This window comes from Homo sapiens, chromosome 11 (genome assembly GCF_000001405.40).
Source record: "Homo sapiens chromosome 11, GRCh38.p14 Primary Assembly".
Lineage (NCBI taxonomy): Eukaryota > Metazoa > Chordata > Mammalia > Primates > Hominidae > Homo > Homo sapiens.
In genome coordinates this window covers 60,783,162-60,803,095 of record NC_000011.10, presented here as the reverse complement: position 1 = coordinate 60,803,095, position 19,934 = coordinate 60,783,162, and the positions used below count along the sequence as shown (strand labels likewise).

Sequence of the window (19,934 nt, the reverse complement as noted above, 5' to 3'; positions counted from 1 at the left end):
GACATGTGATGCCATTTGGTTCATCTTCTGCAAAGAAACTTTGTAGGAGAAGGAAGAAATGAAAAATGACGCTGGCCATGGAGAGACATGACAGTTCCTTGGGACCAGCCGCTAATCGAGGGATGAGCTGGCCCCGAGTACCCCGGGTTGGGTGCAGGGTGAAGGTCACACCATCACCTCTGGAGTGTTCTCCCCAACTGTGCTTACCCTGCATTGAACCAAGATTCGAGGGTCTTCTAGATGTGACTACCAGGCTACAGGAAAGAGGGAGGGTGGAGGAGCAGGGGAAAGACACCTTGAAGAAACCATCAACATTCTGCAAGACAACTGGTCTCAAAAGTCATGAAAAAGCTGAGAGGGCTTTTCTAGATTAAAAGAAAATAAAGTGATGTAACAATCAAATCTAATGTGTGAAACGTGGCCAGATCCAGCTTAAAAAAACACAATAAAGACATTTTTGGCCTAGTGGGGGATATTTGAATACGGACAGGGTATTAGGATTATAGAATTATTTTTAATTTTCCTAGTGTGATAATAGTATTATGATTACATACGAGGATGTGCTTATTCTTAGGAAATAATGCAGGTAGAAGAATTTAGAGAGGAAAAGTCATGATGTCTGCAACTTACAAATGGTTCAATGAAAAAGTATATATACAAATGTATGTCTATCTATGTCTACTATATACATGGTCTATATACACACATACGTATATATAAAGAGACATATATATGTGGAGAAGGAGGGAAAGCAAATATGCAAAATGTTAACACTGTAATCTCAGGGGAGCTATAAGGGTGTCAATTGTACTATTAAGTTTTCTGTATGTTTGAATTTTTCATCATGAGTAAAAATGATAGTAGGCTTCATTTAGGGCTGAATCCATATCAAAATCAGCTGGTGTGGCAGTTCACACTTCTAATTTCAGCACTTTGGGAGGCCGAGGCGACAGGATTGCTTGAGACCAGGAGTTTGAAGAACCAGCCTGGGCAACATATCGAGAGCTCTGCTAAAAATTAAAAAATTAGCTGGGCGTGGTGGTGCACACCTGTAGTCCCAGCTACTCAGGAGGCTGAGATGGGAGGACTGCTTGGGCCCAGGAGTTCAAGCTGGCAGCGGGCTATGGCTGTGCCACTGCACTCCAACCTGGGTGACAGAGCAAAATCCTGCCTCAAAACATTGAAAAAAAAAAGGCTGGGCATGGTGGCTCACGCCTGTAATCCCAGCACTTTGGGAGGCTGAGGTGGGCAGATCATGAGGTCAGAAGTTCGAGATCAGCGTGACCAACATGGTGAAACCTTGTCTCTACTAAAAATACAAAAATTAGCCGAGTGTGGTGGCATGCGCCTGTAGTCCCAGCTACTCAGGAGGCTGAGGCAGGAGAATCGCTTGGACATGGGAGGCGGAGGTTGCAGTGAGCAGAGATCGTGCCATTGCACTCTAGCCTGGGCGACACAGTGAGACTCCATCTCAAAAGAGAAAAAAAATTGAAAAAAAAAAGTCAAAATACAGACTAAAATTTAACCACAGTATTAACAATAGTCAAAGATTGCTTTCTGTTTCTAGCCTGGTGTTAGAAATTCTGCATACTGTGTAGAAGATACCAGCCATTCTAGCAGGTCGCGGTATTGATGAGCCACTCAGGGACTGGGCTGTGGCCATGCTCCGCCGAGACCAGCTAACCCTGCCCGGGCTTCCACCACGCACCTGCGGAGGCAGTGCCCTTTCAAAGGGAACATTGACAAGTCTTCCACTGACTGATTTTTGAAAAATAGAAGTCGAACCAGAAGCCGTTTCAACCTTTATTGATGTAAACCATCAATGTAGCACAATTGCTTGTTTTACAAATGGAGAAACTGGGACCTAGTGAGGGGAAGGGACTGAGTCAAACCCGCACAGTAAGTGATTGGCAGAGCTAGCCTAGAGTTTGCACCCATGTCTTTAGACAACCAAGCTAAGGTTTTCTCCATCACCCCCTTTCATGTTTTGAAAGATTGGGTTTCAGCCAGGGGTGGTGGCTCATGCCTGTAATCCTAGCACTTTGGGAGGCCAAGGTGGGTGGATTATGAGGTCAGAAGTTTGAGACCATCATGGCTAACGTGGTGAAACCCTGTCTCTACTAAAAATACAAAAAGTAGCCAGGCGTGGTGGCGGTCGCCTGTAATCCCAGCTACTCGGGAGGCTGAGGCAGGAGAATTGCTTGAACTCGGGAGGCAGAGGTTGCAGTGAGCCGAGATTGCACCACAGCACTCCAGCCTGGGTGACAGAGTGAGACTCCGTCTCAAAAAAAAAAAAAAAAAAAAAAAAAAAGAAAGACTGGGTTGTCCTAAACATTTGCATGGCTCTCTCTGCCGCTGTCTCAGAACCTAATGCCTTACACTTTACAATCTATTTTAAAGCCAGCTGCAATCTATAGAAGGTTAGAAGCAGCAGATCAGAAGTGGAGAAGAGAGGTGCTATGGCCAAGCTAGTGACCACAGCCAGAAGTGGCAGCGAAAGAGATGACAAAGAGGGAGAATTCAAAGAACCTCAAACCCCAGGGATATTCTGTGCAAGGGCAAATGATACTGAGAGCATCCCTTCACACAGGGATTTTATAAGGCAGTAGAGAGCAGACTGCTATCTCGGACAACTTCAAAACCTGGGCTGGGCACAGTGGCTCACGCCTGTAATCCCAGCACTTTGGGAGGCTGAGGCAGGTGGATCACCTGAGGTCAGGAGTTTGAGACCAGGCTGACCAATATGGTGCAATCCTGTCTCTACTAAAAATATAAAAATTAGCTGGGCGTGGTGGCGTGTGCCTATAGTCCCAGCTACTTGGGAGGCTGAGATAGGAGAATCACTTGAACCAGGGAGGCGGAGATTGCAGTGAGCTGAGATAGTGCCACTGTACTCTGGGCTGGGCAACAGAGCGAGACTCCATCTCAACAAAACAAAAGAAAACAAAACAAAGCGAAACAAAACAAAACAATCTGGGCCACCACAGATATCGAGCCATCAACTATGTAAGAAATGGCTTATCTGAGAGGACAGCGTTCCCAGGAGCTGTGAGGGCTGACTTTGCTGTATAGACCATCGCTCTAGCCTTTTGTATGTGCAAATCTCATCTTCCCAGTGAAAGTGCAACTTTGGGAGAGCAGGGGCTATGCTCCAACCAAGTTTGGGCATTGTCAGGCAGTGGCTCTTCAGTTTGCAGTCTGGGTCCAGATCGCAGCTCCGTCAGTGACTATCCATGTGTCCGGGGCAACTTGCTTAACTTCTCTGAGCCTGCATGAAATGGAGATATTAATAGCAACAGCAGCTAGGTCACAGATCGATGGGAGGATTAAATGACATTGAGATTAAATAGCATTTACTTGGCTCAGAGTCAGTGGCCCAGTAAAGATTCAAAGAGTGAGCTCTGCAAATACCTGGGGGAAGAGAATCCAGGTGGAGGAAGGGCAAGGGTGATGGCTCAGAGGCAGGGGTGTCCCTGGGGTGTCTGTGGAACCTCAAGGAAGCCATGGTGGCTGGGGCAGAGCTAGCAAGAGGAAGGGAAGCAGTGGGTGAGACCACGGGGTTGGAGGGGAAAATTGCGTTTTATTTCACATGTTTGTTATTTTTGGGGTTTGCTTCTGTTTATGGAAAGATACTGATTTCCTATATCTTGCTGCTACAAAGTGCCCCTTTAAAATAATATAGAAAAAAGAATCAGTGTGGAAAAAAAACCAGAATACATTGCAGCTCACAAATAAGCAAAAGTCCTGAAGACTATTCCTCAGATGACTGAAATTAGGAAAATGAGGAAGGCAGGTCCCTCTCCCTCACATTATTTACTTAGCACAAGTAGGTTTGAAATTCCGAGGCTGAAGTTTTACTGGCAACCTCGATGTCACAACTGTGAACCTTGAATTCTCCTGATCTCAGAGCTTTCAAGCTGGGAGACTCCTGGATCATGTCATCCTTGCACCTCCACTTTACAGATGGAGACACTGAGGTCCAGGAGGGCAAAAAGATTCATGCAGAGGGTCTAGTTCAGAGGGAAGAACTGTACACAGTTTCTATGGGACTCAACTCCCCAGCTGCCCTCAGCCCAAATCCAGGGATTCAGACACACAGGCTCCCTCAGAGATGTCTTAGTAGGTTGAGGCAAGGGAAGCCCCTGCCTGTGCCGCTCTGGAGACCTTCCTTCCTGGCTGCCCTTATATCCCCCTGTGCATCCACCATTGATCAGAGAAGGCAGGCAAGGGAGGCCAGAGGGCATGGGGGGCACCAGGGGGCTGCAGGCCCAGGGGTTTGCTCTGGAGGCTGGCAGGGAAGGCGATGGGTCCTGGTTGCGCCCAGGTTCAGCTGAGGTAGTTCTGGTCAACCAAGTCAGGTGCTGAGATGTTCCTGGGGGGCCCTGGGAGTTCCTCTAGTGCCTGAGGGGATAGGACCATTGCTGCCTTGGCTACCACTCCCAGGCCAGGCAGTTCTAGCTGCAGCACTGTTAGCCCCTTGCCCCTTACAGCTCCCCTGGGAACTGGTTTCTATCTATGCCAGGGAGAAGGGGCCAAGCGTGGGTTCTGAAGGTCTGGGGAGCCAGGGCCAAACCTCTTCACCTCTGATGTTGCTTGTGTTGTGCGTCGCCTTGAATCACACTCTGGTAGGATGGCGGGGGCTCCACCGGCAGGCCTTTGAGATGCAATGGTGTATTCGGAACAAGGCATGCATCATCATTCTGCGAAAGAAAAGTCGCCGCCCCTGCTGCTCACAGCTGTGGAGCGACTGGCTGCTTCCGAAACACTTCTCTGCTAGTTCACTTCTGAAGACTCAAGTTCTCCATGAATGTGGGGAAACTGAGGCTTGAGAGACGAAGCGACTTCCATAGACCAGTGTGTGACTCCCTCCACCCTCCCTGTTCTTGAAAAGGGAGTAGGGGGAGGCCCACATGGGAGTCACTGGATGGGGCTCTGGTTCCCGTCCCGCTACCAGTGTCCTGGTGACCAGGTGCAAGTCACTCACCCTGTTGGGTTTCCTGAGGGGGGCTGGGCCATGACCCAAGTCCCTTCTAGCCAGGATACACTCTAGGGGCAGGTCTAATGCCAACAGTGTCTGCCAATGATTGCTGCCACACCTCCATCCCTGATTAGTGATGAGGGTGGCACCAACTCAGTGCTGGAGAGCCTGTCCCTGGCACCATCCTTACCGATGGGGAGGGCACAGGGCCCATTGGGGAACCTGGCATGGCCACTTACTGGCTGTGAGACCATGGGAAGTCACGTAACTCTTCTAAGGTTCATTTTTTCCTCTTTAAAATGGAAAAGCAGAACCTGCGTCCCAGAATGGCCGTGAGATTCAAGGACATCTTAGCTAGTGCAGTAGGGAGAAGCACGGCCCCCAGAAGACACCCATGTTCTAATCTCTGGTCACACGGCAGAGAGGAATTAAGGTTGCAGATGGAATTAAGGTTTCCAATCAGCTTTGAGATTGGGAGATTCTCCTGGATTATCTCTCTGGGCCCAGTATGATGATAAGGGTCCTTAAAGGTAGAAGAGGGAGACAGGGTTATTGGAGGATGTTGTGATGCTGGCTTTGAAGGTGGAAGAAGGAGCCACAAGCCAAGGAATGCAGGCAGCCTCTAGAAGCTGGAAAAGGCAAGGAAAGAGATTCTTTTTGATGCCCCCGGAAGGGATGCAGTCCTGGCGACACACCTTGATTTGAGCCCTTGAGACTCATTTCAAACCGCTGACCTCCAGAGCTGTAGGGTAATACAGGTGTCATTTTAAGCCACCAAATTTGTGATAATTTACTACAACATCAATAGAAAATGAATACAGCCACCTGCAGCACTAGCACAGTGCCTGGAACACAGCAAAGGTCAATAAATAGGAACAATTATTGCTCATAGCTGCAGCTAGGTATGGGGCCCCAGTTTTCCCCATCCTTAAAAGTGGGGTTGGCCTCAGTGACTCAAGACCCCCATCTGGCTTTCTGATGTCTTAATGAGAAGACTTCCTGTCAGGCAGCTAGGAATTAACAAAGACACCTTCTCTGCTTGATGTTAAATGAAACTCAGAGGCCATCAACTTATATATGCATTATGTGAACACTTGGTGTGTGATGAGGTCACTAACATGAAAATCAGTGTCAAACTTGAAGAATTATGGGGGATTTGGCACTTTTTTAAATAATGTTCTAAAGTTGAGATTGTAATATGATTTTTTTTTCTTTAAAGAAATGAGCCTTAGAGATCACTTCTGGTCAGGGTCTTTATTTTTTATTTATTTTTTTTCTTTTATAAAACATCCTTATCCTGAACTGTTCAGGATCTTTGGGGTGAGCAGAGACTTGCCTTCTATTTTAAAATATATCTAGCCCTATGCCATCCCCATGGGTAGACAAGGGCAAGACTGTGGGTTGGACATAGCTCAGGCTGAGTCCTGGATTTCCTAATTGGCTGCTTCGCCTTGAGAAGTGATGTGACCTCTCTGGACCTCAGCTTGCTAGTCTGTAGTATGAGAATGTAAGTACCTCAAAGGGTTGTTGAGGGCTGGGCATGATGGCTGATGCCTGTAATCCCAGCACTTTGGGAGGCCATGGGTGGTGGATCACTTGAGGTCAGGAGTTTGAGACCAGCCTGGCCAGGATGGCAAAACCTCATCTATACTTAAAAAAATACAAAAATTAGCCAGGTATGGTGGCACATGCCTGTAGTCCCAGCTACTTGGGAGGCTGAGGTAGGAGAATTGCTTGAACCCGGGAGGCGGAGGTTGCAGTGGGCCGAGATCGTGCCACTGTACTCCAGCCTGGGTGACAGAGTGAGACTCAGTCTCAAAAGAAAAAGGGTTATTGAGAAGATAAAGTTAAATACAGCTATATTTATCTGTATATCTGCACGTCTATATCCATCCATACATCATCCATCCATCCATCCATCAATGGATGCATCGATTGATGCTTAATAGAGTCCCTGCAATTCCTTAAATGCCCAATCTTTGATGACTCTGTCACTTGTTTCCACTACAGCCAAACTCCACACACACCATAGCTTCCCCAGGCCTTCTCTGTCCTGTCTCCAAGCCAGTGCTCGTGCTCTTCTTGCTCTGCTGAAAGTCTCTCTTCCACCTATGCCTGTGGGTCCGAATCCTGCCCGGTCATCATGGGCCTCTGTGATGCAATTTCCCCAGGGCCTTCAGAGCTGGCAGCACAGTAGCCTCTTGTTCTGGGCACCCATGGAGTTTCCTCTCTGGCAGCCTCACCCTTTTCTCCTTGGATTGGCCTCCTCTCTTGCCCCCGTGCCTTGGCTCCCCTACTGGATCGTGGGCTGTCACTTAGTGAACGCTCAGCAACGTGAGGAATGAATGAAACACGCTCCTCTTGTAACCCCCACATATCTTTCCTTTCTGAGCTCTCTGCTGCCTCATGCCCCCATTTTTTGTCTTCCTGGGAAGACAAGCCCTTGTCTTACCTTTGCAGATGGGCAGTCCCCTCTCCAGGCTGTGACAGCTGTGGGCACTGGCAGGAAGAGCTCTAGGACAGTGAAGCAGAGCAAGGCCAGCTCCAGCCTCTGGATGTGGACCTGAGAGGGTAGAGGGAAGGAAGGCAGGGTGAGGCCTCGCTGGGTGTCTGCACGCATCACGTGGGCTTAGCCAGGCAGGGGTCCTTGCTAAGATCCACAGCAGAGGGCAGGTGGGGTTTCAGCTCCCAGGTGTGCGTGGGGAAGGCAGGGTGGGTCTCTGTGGGACGGGGACTTGGTCTGTCTTGGTCACTGCCCTACACTCAATGCCTGGCACATATGGGTCTTTGGTGAGTATTGGCCTAACGTTTGAGGGCTGGAGAATCTCATGGGTCCCTGGTAAGAATGAAGGTAGCCTTAGGGTCATCTGATCCAAGCCTATTTGACAGATGGGGGTACCTAGTCCCAGAGTGAGGGAGCATGTTTTACAGCAGAGGAGGGGAAGAGCCGTGCAGCTGGGAGTCATCTCATAGTATCACATGCATTTGATGGGGAAGCATATGTATATGTGTGTGTGTGCACGCACATGTGTGTCCATGCATGCTCGCACATGCATGTGATGTGCATGTGTATGCACGTGTGTGTATGTGCTGGGAGGAGATAAGGAATAACAAACCACTATGGTCAGAACCCTTGTGGGCATGGTGGCTCACGCCTGTAATCCCAGCACTTTGGGAGGCTGAGGCGGGAGGATCACTAGAGGTCAGGAGTTCGAGACCTGCCTGGCCGACATGGTGAAACCCCATCTCTACTAAAAATACAAAAATTAGCCTGGCGTGGTGGTGGCTGTGGTGGGTGCCTGTAATCCTAGCTACTCGAGAGGCTGAGGCAGGAGAATTGCTTGAATCTGGGAGGCGGAGGTTACAGTGAGCCTCGATTGTGCCACTGCACTCCAGCCTGGGTGACAAGAGTGAGACTCCGTTCCCCCGCCCCTTCCAAAAAAAAAGAAAAAAGAATTCTTGGAGCCTGGCCCAGAGGCACCCAGTGGTCTGCCTTCTGCTTCAGAGGCAGCAGTGATATGGTGAAAAGAGCACCAGGCTTGGAGTCAAAGACCCACTAATCTAGCCTCTCTGGACCTCCGTGTTCACTCCCAGAAGATGAGGGTAACAAAGTGGACTTGGCCAGCTTTGCAAGGCTGATGGGAGGCTCCCGGATCACAGGGGCCACCAGGCACACCATGCTTAGAGCCCTGGCTGGGAAATCAGCAGTTTTAGGCTGTGGTCCTGGATTTGCCGTCAAGTTGCTGCTTGACCTCAGGCAGGCTCCTCCCCGTCTCTGGCCCCATTTCCCAATCTATAAAAGTGGACTTGGATTCAGTGATGCTGACCAGTCAGCAGCCCAGCACCCACCTTTCCACCACACCTTGTAGGGGACAGAAACAGGTTGGCAAAGGGCCCAGCAGCCCACACCTGGGCTCCAGGAGGGGCTTTCTGTGAGCTGGAAACCTCCTGTTGGCCAAATCCAAGGCAGCACCTTCGCTGAAGTCAGAGGGCCCTCCAGGCCTGGGTACTCACCGTGGAGTTGGGGTACATTCTCCAGATCGGGGACTCAAATGGGCTCTCCAGAAAGAGATCCTTGGAGATGACGAAGAGGCCAGACAGCACGCAAAAGAGGCTGATGAGGTTTGTCATCAGGCACAACATCTTCTATAGGTGAAAAATAAAGGTAACAGCTGTCCAAAGGGTGGAGACCTGGGGCTAGGTCCTCCCCTCATGCTTGCCAGTAGCTTCCTCTGTAGCCTCAGGAGAGACTCTGCCTGTCACTGGGCCCAAGGCCCCCTCTGCCTGTCACTGGCCCCTCAGCCCCTCACACAGGATTGAGCTGAGCTGCTCCTGTGTGACCACTGAGGAGGGTCCAGCTGGCCCTTGCCTTCTATGGGACAAATTGGGAGAACCCAAGAGCTGCCTTCAGATCCAAGAGCTTTGCAATAAAGGATGCCCTATTGCCATTTCCTGCTCAAAGCCAGCCCCGACCATCCTACATCAGCTATGCCAAGTGTCAGGGATTCGACACCCAGGTGACCCCTCATCCAGCCCCTTCCCCACCAGAAAGGTCAGGAGGAGCTCTGAAAGTGCCCTATCCTCACATGTCCCAGTACCAGCCCATTTTCTCCGCCCACCTGCCATGGTTCCTGAAATGCCTGTATTCATCGTCCTCTCGGGTTAAGCATCATTCCAAGAGCCTCTTGCCAAGTGCAAATCCTCCTAGTGAGGAAAGACTATGCACATATGGAATCTGTAGCCTTTTATACTGGAATGGGTTTCTTTACAGTAAGAGTGTCCTTATGCTCAGGTATACAAAGCAAGAGGCCTGTGGTTCTAAAAGGGGCTCAGCCCAGGAGGGTGAGGTCTGGGGAATGGGCACGTCTTTGTCAAGCATCTCCTGCCTCTGCTGGGTAAACTGCACAACCATCCTTCTATTCTGTATGCCCTCTGAGAAAGTAGGGAGCAACCACAGCCTAGCCAGGCTGAGGGACACAAATAGGGAAGGACCTGGCTTGGGCTTCGGGGGCAGAAGGAGGGGAGGTGGGAAGACCTGGGTGTGAGCTGTGATTTGCAGGGATGTTCCTTCCATCATCCATCCACCTCCACCCATCCAGTCTTGTGCTAGGTGTCTACTCTGTGCCTACTTGGGCCACCTTGGGCTATCACTATGCTCGGGCACATTCTGCCCAGAAATAATTTAGTGTACAGTAGAGACAGGTAAGTCCACAGAGTTGTGGGAGAATGGAAGGCAGCCATGGAGGTCAGGGAAGATCTCCGGGAGGACAAGACATACAGGTTGTCTTGAGTGGTCAGGAGTAAGTCAAAGATGGGAGCCATGTGTGCAGGGGAGAGGGCAAGGTGTTTGGGCAGTGGCCAGCACGGGCAGAAAAGGGAGGACCACCGTTCCATCTGCCTGGCTCTTAGAGAGGAGAAGTAGATGCAAATCCAGCTGGAGGCTGGGGCTTGCAGGCTATGTGGTGATTAAGATTAAGACACAGTAGATTTGAGAGGAAGCAAAGTTGTGTCCTAGATGGATGGGTCAGGGTGCCTGGGAGCCATTTCCTTCTCTGCCTCACTGCACTGGAAAGAGAGAAGCTTCAGATGGTGCTTCCTTTCCTCCCACAGCCAAGTCTGTCAGCCTGTCTGCATCTGGACCCTTCTGCTTGGACATCCTCTGCTGTCCTGAAGGCAAGAGCCTGCTCTTAGCAAGTCCTGGAGAAGTGCCCTCACAATCACCCCTACAGACAGATGCCCTTAACAAAGTTATGCCATGCTCAGATGGAAGAGAATGATCTCAGTGTGCCCACTCACCAGGTAAGTTTTAGAAAAGGTCTTCATTGTTATCGCCAAGATCCCTGAAATGAGAAACTGCAGGACAGATTTGAAAGTCAAAGGAGAGAAGCTGGGGTTCCTCAAAACCCACAAATTCCCACCCCCACCCCTATTCTCCAAGAAAATCAACCCTTGGCGGCCAGTGGGGCAGGGAATACTATTCCTCCAGCAAAGTGAGCTCCTCTTGCCTGCCATGTGGCCCATCCAAGAAGCTGCCCCACCTCACATCTTCCCATGTGCACAAACCTCCATACCTCCTCCCATCTCTACACCTTGGACCAAGCTGTGCCCTGCACTTAGAACTCCCTCCTAGACCCTCCTGCTTCCCTCATTTTACAAACCCAAACCATCGCTGGGATCAGTGGCACTATCCCCTCCACCCCGACTGTTTCTCTTTTCTTGAATCTTGCAGTTGGGAGGATATGAGTTCTTGCTTCCAAGGTCTCTGGGAGCACCTCTGCAATCATTCTTTCCAATGTGCACTGAGCACCTACTATGGGCTAGTCCCTGGGAGCACAGGGTGAATAAGCACTGCATGTGTGGAAAGTTCTATCACTGTGCAGTGAAAGCCCCATCCTGTGGGCAGTGAGAACAGTGGACTGATGTGAAAGGGGGATTGGGATACTTGCCCAAGACAGTGCCGTGGAGCTTGGACTTAGTGCATAGGCAGGACTCCACCTGGGAGTCAGGAATGGGGTGGGCTCCCTGGAGACCTGAAGGAATGTAGAGCTTCTGGGAAATGGTGCATGCACTGGTCCAGTGTCATCTCCCATCCTGGCTGATGGCCTTGGGAGGACAGGAGCCACACCTTACACCCTGTGTGTTTTTGTAGCTCAACCCCAACAGGGCACCTGTAGCTGGATCCAGAGGCAGCCTGGCTGCTCAGAAGGCTGGGGAAGAATGAAGCTGTCCCTGGGTCTTACTCACCCTCCTCTTTGCCAAATGCACATATTCAATTATGGGAGAATGGATAGCCTCCAAGTGCTCTCTTGGGACTCAGAATTGACAGGGGCTCCCTGGAAGGAGCTATTTCCATTGTGACTAAGATAAAAGAAGCAGAGCTAGGAACACTGGAGAAAGGGCCTCGCTTCTGCCGCACTCCTATTAGCTCTCTCTATCCCACCCTGCATCCTGTCCCAAATGCCAGGGCCTCCCAGGCCTGCCTTGCAGACTCCCACACCCGGTCTGTGTTTTGCCTTCTACTCACAGAGGCAGCCCCCCAGAATGGATACCAAGACTTCAGCACCACCAGGTGAAGGTTCTTGACTATAGAGGCCAGGTAGCCCCCAAAGACCAGGTGCAGCAGAGCGATGGTGATGTGGAAGGCCTGGGTGGGGAAGAGAGAATGGCTGGGGTGAGGGCATCGGTCACTGGCTCTAATTGAGGCCACTAGTGCCCTGGACCTACTGGCTGTGGTGAGTCCCTTCTGTCCTCTTAGGGATCCCAGAGACCAGGCTCTCTAAGAAGGACCACTCCCCAGGATTTCCTGCAGAAAGAGCTGAAGCTGCCAAGGGCCCCATGGGTGGGAGCTATCTATCCTGGAGCTGGCAGCCTTCTGCCATTCTCCCCAGGACAGGGCCCTGTCCAAACCTCACAAGGCAGTAGTAGGTGTGGGCAGATTCTCTCCAATCTTCAAGGCCTTTTCCAGTTCAGATGAATGTTCAGCAGGAAAGCTGGAGCCTTTCTCTTTTCCCTTTCTTCCCTTGGGGCCCCCCAGCATCCTCCTCATATCCCCCTCTCCTCTGCCTCCCACTGCTGGGACCCTGGGAAGTGGATGCTCACCCCCAGCTCCTTAAGAAGGCTGCTCTTCTTCTGGGACTTCTCGTGCTGGTGTGGAGCCAGGAGCTTGGGCTGGGTCGTGTTCTGGGGTGCACTTGTCTGCCAGGGCTGGACTGGGCTGAGGACTTGCCATGATGGGAGCCCCCTAGCACAACGGCTGGGAATAACTGTGGCTTCTGCTTTCATTGATGCTGGATGGGGGCCCTGGCTGCAGGACGGGGAGGAAGGCCGTCAGAACCCGTCTCATTTCTGAGGCTTGTGCCTGGGTGAGCCTCTGCCAATCACCTCTGTTTAAGGGACCAGATCTTTCCAGAACTGTGGTTGCCCTGTCTGGCAGCCCCTGGTCTTGGTCTTGATTTGACCTGGAATAATCTGGCCCCTGGAGATGGGAGTAATTGCTGCTCACAGCCTTTCTGGGGTTGCAAAGACACAGCTCCTTTTGGGGCAGAAAAATGAGGACCAGGCAAACTTCACAACCAGTGGAAGACAGAGCTCACCCAAAGTGGCCAGACTGCAGTTTGGAAGAGTTGGGAGGTGCGAGAGGTGCAGGTCAATGGAGGGGCTTTGTAAACAGTCTCCATCCACTGGTCCAAGAAGAGTGACTGAAGGCAGGTGGGAAATAATTGTCCTACCTCCTGTGGTGGTGCCCATGCCTCCTGGAGAGAAGGGAAGAAAATATCTTCCACCGAGGACTTTTTATGAGCCAACACTGAGTCAGGAAGTCCATATTTAACGATGCTAACATTTACAAATACTTTCTCTGCTCCAGGCACTGAGATAAACCTTCTACGTGCATTACCTGATTTTGTCCTCATTCCAACCCTATGAGGTAAATACCGTCCTCACTCTCATTTTGCAGATGAGGCTCAGAAAGGTTAAGCCACTTGCCCATGGTCACACAACCAGTAAGTGACTTGGACTTGAAGCATGGCAGGCTGGCTCCAGAGCCTGGGGCTTAAGTCCTTCATGCACTGTTGGCTCAACAATTGGAAATGAATGTTCTGGATGTTCTCATGGGCACAAAAAGGAGTTGGGGAAAAAAGTTAGAAGGGGGCTGGACACACGACCTGCAGACAGGGCCTGGTATAGTGTATACTGACGCCGTGGGATGCACTAGGGCTTGGGGGCTGCCTGGGACTTGGTGAGAAAATCCAACGTAGTCTTTCTGTCCCAGGAAGTGGACAGCTGGGCGGGGAAGAAAGGGAGCTGGCTTGCAGGGATTGAGGTCAGAGATGGTTTCTCCATGGGGATGGGGCTAATGAGCAAATCCTTGAGAGAGAGAGGCTGCTCTCAGACTGTATCCTGGATGAATGAAAAGGGAGGGCCATTCCTCTCACTTTTAAGTCTGACTTGTGGATCCAGGAAGTTCCATTGAGCATCCACATTTTCCACAGGGATGCAGGGAAAGAGTTTTGGGAAGTTTGGAGGGACAAATAGCCCAGGTGACTATATCCTGGATTGGGTAGAGGGGAAAGGAAGGGACATTATCAAGAGCCAAAGAGCCAGATGGGGCCTCACAGTTGGGTGAGCACTGTATGCCGGGCACTGTGCCAGGAGGCAGTTTTGCCTGGCAACCTCCCTTAATACTCAGGAAGTCAGCACCATTGCATAGAAGAGGAAACCAAGGTTCAGAGAGGTTGCCTGCCTTGGCCATGGTCACACAGTGAGGAAGTGCCTGGAATTGGAACCACGCATGGTCTTACTCCATCGCCAGTGCTCTGGGCCTGGGCTGCTGGGTAGGACCCCCTGATTGATATCTCCATGGTCCTGCAGTGACGACCGCTGATTTAGTGGGGTGAGTGGGCAGAGGGTCTCCCTCTTTCCTGGGCTTCAGAAGCTGAGCTCATAGACACAGTGCTGTATGATTCTTTTTGTGACTCTGCCCAGCTATGCATGGGAACTGTCCCTCTGGGAACTGTCCCTTGGGAAGGTTCCCAAGCCTTCAGAAGTCCGTCTGACACAGCTAGCTGGACTAAGGGATGTATTCGGTGGCAGAGGCCTGAACCAGGTTAGCCACTGGCTTCACCTAGACTCTGCACACCTGGGAGGACAATACCTGGACCCAGGCCTGGACTCCACTGCAAAGAACAGAAGAAGAGGGACTTCTTAGTAGAGCTGCCTTGGATGGAACTGCTTGTCCACGGAGATAGTGAGTGCCTGGGCACTGGAGCTGTACCTCCACCTAGACATTCACTTGTGAGAGCTGTGGCAGTAGGAATGGTTCAAATATCCAACAGGGAGTTGGACTCAAGAATCCAGAATAACCTTTCTCAAAGTATGTTCCATGGAACATTGGTCCTGATGTATCTGCAGTAAAAGGGTTCCATGGTCAAATAAGTTTGAGAAACCATGGTTAGCCTCTTCTCCCTTTTTCTCATATTAAAGACTCTGAGATTTTCTACAAGTGGCACACTCTGTTTTAGTATTAAGGGCATTTCCCAAACTTAATTGGCCATATAATCTTTATTATTTATTTATTTATTTATTTATTTATTTCTATTTTTGAGACGGAGTTTCGCTCTTGTCACCCAGGCTGGAGTGTAGTGGCGTAATCTTGGCTCACCGCAACCTCCGCCTCCCGGGTTCAAGTGATTCTCCTGCCTCAGCCTCCTGAGTAACTGGGATTACAGGCACCTGCCACCACGCCCTGCTAATTTTGTATTTTTAGTAGAGATGGGGTTTCTTCATGTTGGTCAGGCTGGTCTCAAACTCCCGACCTCAGGTGATCCGCCTACCTTGGCCTCCGAAAGTGCTAGGATTACAGATGTGAGCCACTGCGCCCGGCTGGCCATAGGATCTTTTTTTTCTCATTGTCTAACGGTTCTATGCAATTGGTATTCTGTGGGGTCTGCTTTTGGGCAAAGTGGCCTTGAAGGTTTCAATTTCTGGTCCTGGGCTCTGGTTTTTGGCCTTTTCTCTGCTTTTGGTTTGCTCACGTGCATATCACAGTGGGAATGGGAATTGAGTGATGATCTCTAAGGTCCCTTCCAACTTTAAATATAATACTTCTCTCACGGGATAGAGAGCCGCTACAAGGAATTTTATACAACCAGGAGAGGAAGGAGTTGCAGAGGGCAGACCTTAGTCATCATGGGGAAAAGTTTGTTATGACTCTCTCGTACGCCTTTCCAAGACAAAGAGCATGAACTCTGATTCCTTAGAACACTTATTCCCAGCTGTCCTGGCCCACTTCCAGGACCTGTGCAGGGCTGCTAGGAGGTGACAGTGTGCTGACAGAGAGGGGGCAGGCAGCAGGCTGTTTGGTGCATAAAGGAACTTTTTTAGCCTTTCCCCGCCCAACCCCAGCCCCCTCAGCCAGCTCAGGACCACGGACCCAGCCAGCTTGGTATCCCACGGGAAACCCACTGCCACTAGGGCCTCAGCGCTCTGCACAGGGCCACGGGATGCCTGGGTCCCACACATATTCTCGTTGTTCCTTCAGTTCTGGGAGTGGAGGGAGGACAGGGACAGAGCTGGGCAGGACCCTCCAGAACCCCCCAGCAAAGCAGCAGAGTGGGCACGGCCCTGAGCGCTGGAAGTTGTCAGCTAGAATGGGTGCTCCGTGCAAAGTCCTGGCTCTGCTCCCCGGAGCTTTGACCTTGGGCCGGTTTTTTACATCTCAGCATCTGAGTCTCCCCTCACCTTCTCATGGGGAGTGCCACTGCCTGTCCCTAGGGGGTAGGTGGTGAGGAGTAGCTGAAACAATGCCTGCAACTGACAGGGACTGGCGTATAGCAATAAATGTCAGCCACAGTTGCCACTGGCCTGTTGCGTGTCTAGAATCCCACCAGTGAGGCTCCACCTTGTCCTCGTCTGGTTCTCGGTTAAGACATGGTACACCCCATCCCTATCATCTGGAGTGGTGAGTTTATTGCCTCCATCTGCATCCTGCTTACAGGGGGAGAGGGCTGTGAGAGCGAGGCTCCACCTTGTCCTCGTCTGGTTCTTGGTTAAGACATGATACACCCTGTCCCTATCATCTGGAGTGGTGAGTTTATTGCCTCCATCCCCATCCTGCTTACAGGGGGAGAGGGCCGTGAGAGCTCTGGGGCCCTGGGGTGGGGGTAGGGGGTCGTGAGGGAAGAAAGGCACTGAGTGTATTGAGCTAGTGATCTGAGATCCAACACTGTCATTCGTGGATTTGTTTGTGGAGTTTCTGCACTGGACACTGCAGGGACCGAGGCAGGAGTGAGTAAGATGTGTCCATGGGAGGTCTGTGGCTGAGCAGGCAGAGGAAACGTGGCATGAATAATATGACCCTCATCAGACTGTGCAGTGGAGCCCTAGAGGACAGAGAGAGCTTCTCAGGGTGTGTGTGTGTGTGTGTGTGTGCGTGTGTGTGTGTGTGCATGTGTGTGCATGCATGTGCATGCATGTCAAGGACAGAAAGGCAGGAATTGAGAGGTGCTGAGTGACAAGAGTGTCACAACATGTGACAGGCAGGCTGGTGTTGGGGGTGGGGTGCCTTAGAGGATCAGCGTTTCAGTGAATGCCAGTTAGAAAACCACCTACGACTGTACTGAACCAGCCTCCTCCTGGTGCTTCCAGACAGTGTGCCTGGTGTAAAGAGAGCTCACCCACCAGCAGCTGGAAGGCCTGCAGGAAACAGAGGCCTCCGTCCAAGGAGGGAGTCAAGAATCTGGATTCTAGTCCTGCCCCCTCGTGGCCCTCGACAAGTCCCTTCTCCTCCCTGGGGCTCTGTTTTCTTGAACTGGTCTCTCTGTGTGTATGCATTTCCAGACTGCAAGAAAAGTGTCTGGGGCTCCTCCAGCAATAAGGGTCAGTAACTGGCAGCAGGATGGGGCTCCGCAGGGGAGAGGCCGACGGTGCCCCCTACTTCCCAGATCCCCTCTGCTGGGTGGGCCACCCATTCTCCAGCTGGTATAATTGTTCATTGCTAAAGGCTCACATCTCCTCCCTTCTGGGAGTTTAAGTAACACCGCTCCAACCCTACAGCCAACAACTGATTGGCTAGGGGTATAAGAGGCCGGTCCCCTGGCTTCAAGGGGGGACCAGGTCTGTACACCTGAGCAACCCCCCAACTCCACATGGAAACACAAAATCACTCCCCTCTGTTCCTGCCATGGGGGGACCACTCACCCCAGGACCTGGGACTGCAGCTCTGAGCTTCCAGCTGTGCTTTGCCCTCTTGCGCTGCCGGAGCTCCCCAGAGACAGCGCTGGGAAATCAGCACATCTTTACAACATTCGACTTTGGATCTTCTCCCTCCTGGACCCACGCCCTGCTTCATGCCCCGGTTGCATGGAAGCTGTCAAAGTCCTTCCCCCTCCCGCCAAACCCCGGCAGGTGAAAATCTTAGTGCCCTTCTTTATGTCTCTCCTTGACAGTTGTAAATTTCCTTTGGCAAGGGAAATGTTGATAATTTAATCTGTTTTCAGGGCATGACTGATGGAGTGAAAGTGGTTGTAATCGTCTTAGATCCTGGGAGTGGAGTAAGAAGTTGAACCTTTTGAAAGAGTTCTTTTAATTCTGGAAAATTTCAAGCACTCACAAAAGTAGAGAGAATGGTTCCATGACACCCCTGTGCCCATTCGCGAGCTACAGCCACCATCAGCAGCTCTTGGCCAATCTTATTCTCCCCCAGAAGTAAGCAAAACTCAGATATCTTCCCATTTTATTTGTAAGCATTTTAGTATTTATCTCTAAAAGATATGGACTCTTTAAAAAAAAAGTGTGACCACATGATCAGAACAAAAAAATTAAAACCGAGTCCTGGTGCTCACTGAGGTCTATTTACGCTCAGAGTTTAACCCTGCAGCCCCACAGAGCTCTGTTGAACATTTGGAAACTAGTCTTTTAAAGGGCCGGGCGGTGGCTCATGCCTGCAATCCCAGCTCTTTGGGAGACCAAAGTGGGAGGATCACTTGAGCCAAGAGCTTGAGACCAGCCTGGGCAACATAGCGAGACCTCATCTCTACAAAAATTCAAAAATTCAAAAATGAGCCAGGTGTCTTGGTCCCTGTCTATGGTTCCAGCTGCTCGAGAGGCTGAGGTGGGAGCATCACTTGAGTCCAGTGAGCTGTGATCACACCACTGCACCTCAGTCCGGGCAACACAGTGTGACCCTGTCTCAAAAAAAAAAAAAAAAAAAAAAGAGGAAAGGAAAAAAGAAACTACTTTCATAGAGCAGTGGTCCCCAACCGTTCTGGCACTGGGGACCAGTTTCGTGGAAGACAATTTTTCCATGGGCCGGGGTGGGGATGGGGGATGGTTCTGGGATGAAATTAGTCCACCTCAGATCATCAGGCATTCGATTCTCATGAGGGTACCACTTAGATCCCTTGCATGTGCAATTCATAATAGGGCCCGTTCTGCTTTGAGAATCTATTGCTGCGGCTGATCTGACAGGAGGCGGCACTCAGGTGGTAGGTCATGCTTGCCTGTTGCCCCTCACCTTCTGCTGTGAGGCCTGGTTCCTAACAGGCCACAGACTGGTATAGCTCCATGGCCTGGGGGTTGGGGACCCCTGTTGTGGGGGACAAGCTTAACCCTAGGAGTCAGAAAAACCTGTTCTTATCTAGTTTTTGGTACTTACCGGGTATCAAATAACTAGTCGGAGCTTCAGTTTCTGATTATCTCACAAATGTCTTGTTACTTTTGATTTGTTCAAATCAGGATCCAGGATCCAGGCATGGCCCACAAATTGCATCTGACAGAATCAGTTGCCACATCTTGTGCCCTGATCTTTCCATGAGCACGGTGCTGCTCTGGGAAGTGTGAAGGTCTTCCGTGAGGCTGTTCTGGTGGAGGAGGTGTGGAGTGGGCTCCAGTGACCCCCAGATCCCATGACCCCCAGATCCAGTGACCCCAGATCCAGCGACCCCCAGGTACCACAACCCCCAGATCCAGGGACCCCCAGATCCCACAACCCTCAGATCCTGTGACCCCCAGATCCCATGACCCCCAGATCCCACAACCCCCAGATCCCGTGACCCCCAGATCCTGTGACTCCCAGATCCTATGACCCCAGATCCAGTGACCCCCCCGATCCAGTGACCCCCAGATCCAGCAACCCCCAGATCCCACGACCCCCAGATCCAACAAACCCCAGATCCAGCAACCTCCAGATCCCACAACTCCCAGATCCAGCAACCCCCAGATCCCACAACTCCCAGATCCAGCAACCCCCAGATCCCACAACCCCCAGATCCAACAACCCTCAGATCCCACAACTCCCAGATCCAGCAACCCCCAGATCCTGTGACCCCCAGATCCAGCGACCCCCAGATCCAGCGACCCCTAGATCCCGCCTTGGGCTCTTCCTTTTCCATCTGGCTTCTCTCTCCACATCGCTCTGCTGAGGGTGGACAGGGAAGCGCGAGGCAGAGCCAGCGGCTGT

General features: G+C 51.2%; 1 protein-coding gene and 1 long non-coding RNA gene across 3 annotated transcripts in view; one reads left to right on the top strand and one right to left on the bottom strand.

Annotated features, from left to right (window-relative positions):
* LOC105369322 (uncharacterized) overlaps positions 1–10,771 on the top strand; it is a 43,823-nt gene extending 33,052 nt beyond the window's left edge. Inside the window, exon 3 of the long non-coding RNA XR_950149.3 lies at positions 10,589–10,771. This is a non-coding gene — a long non-coding RNA (uncharacterized LOC105369322). The remainder of the gene's footprint in view (positions 1–10,588) is intronic.
* On the bottom strand, positions 1,791–17,763 carry MS4A10 (membrane spanning 4-domains A10). 2 transcript variants are annotated; one of them, XM_011544989.2, is made up of 9 exons: positions 17,675–17,763; positions 12,578–12,782; positions 12,003–12,122; positions 10,775–10,831; positions 8,993–9,124; positions 7,431–7,541; positions 4,582–4,700; positions 3,412–3,521; positions 1,791–3,268 (listed from the first exon to the last, which is right to left on the bottom strand). In XM_011544989.2, exons 2-9 carry the CDS (start codon positions 12,758–12,760, stop codon positions 3,228–3,230), a joined length of 873 nt encoding a protein of 290 aa, XP_011543291.1. In that variant the 5' UTR covers positions 12,761–12,782; positions 17,675–17,763; the 3' UTR covers positions 1,791–3,227. The 2 variants fall into 2 exon arrangements, with proteins under 2 accessions (XP_011543291.1, NP_996776.2); NM_206893.4 differs by lacking the exon at positions 3,412–3,521.
* Between the last annotated feature and the right edge of the window lie 2,171 nt (positions 17,764–19,934).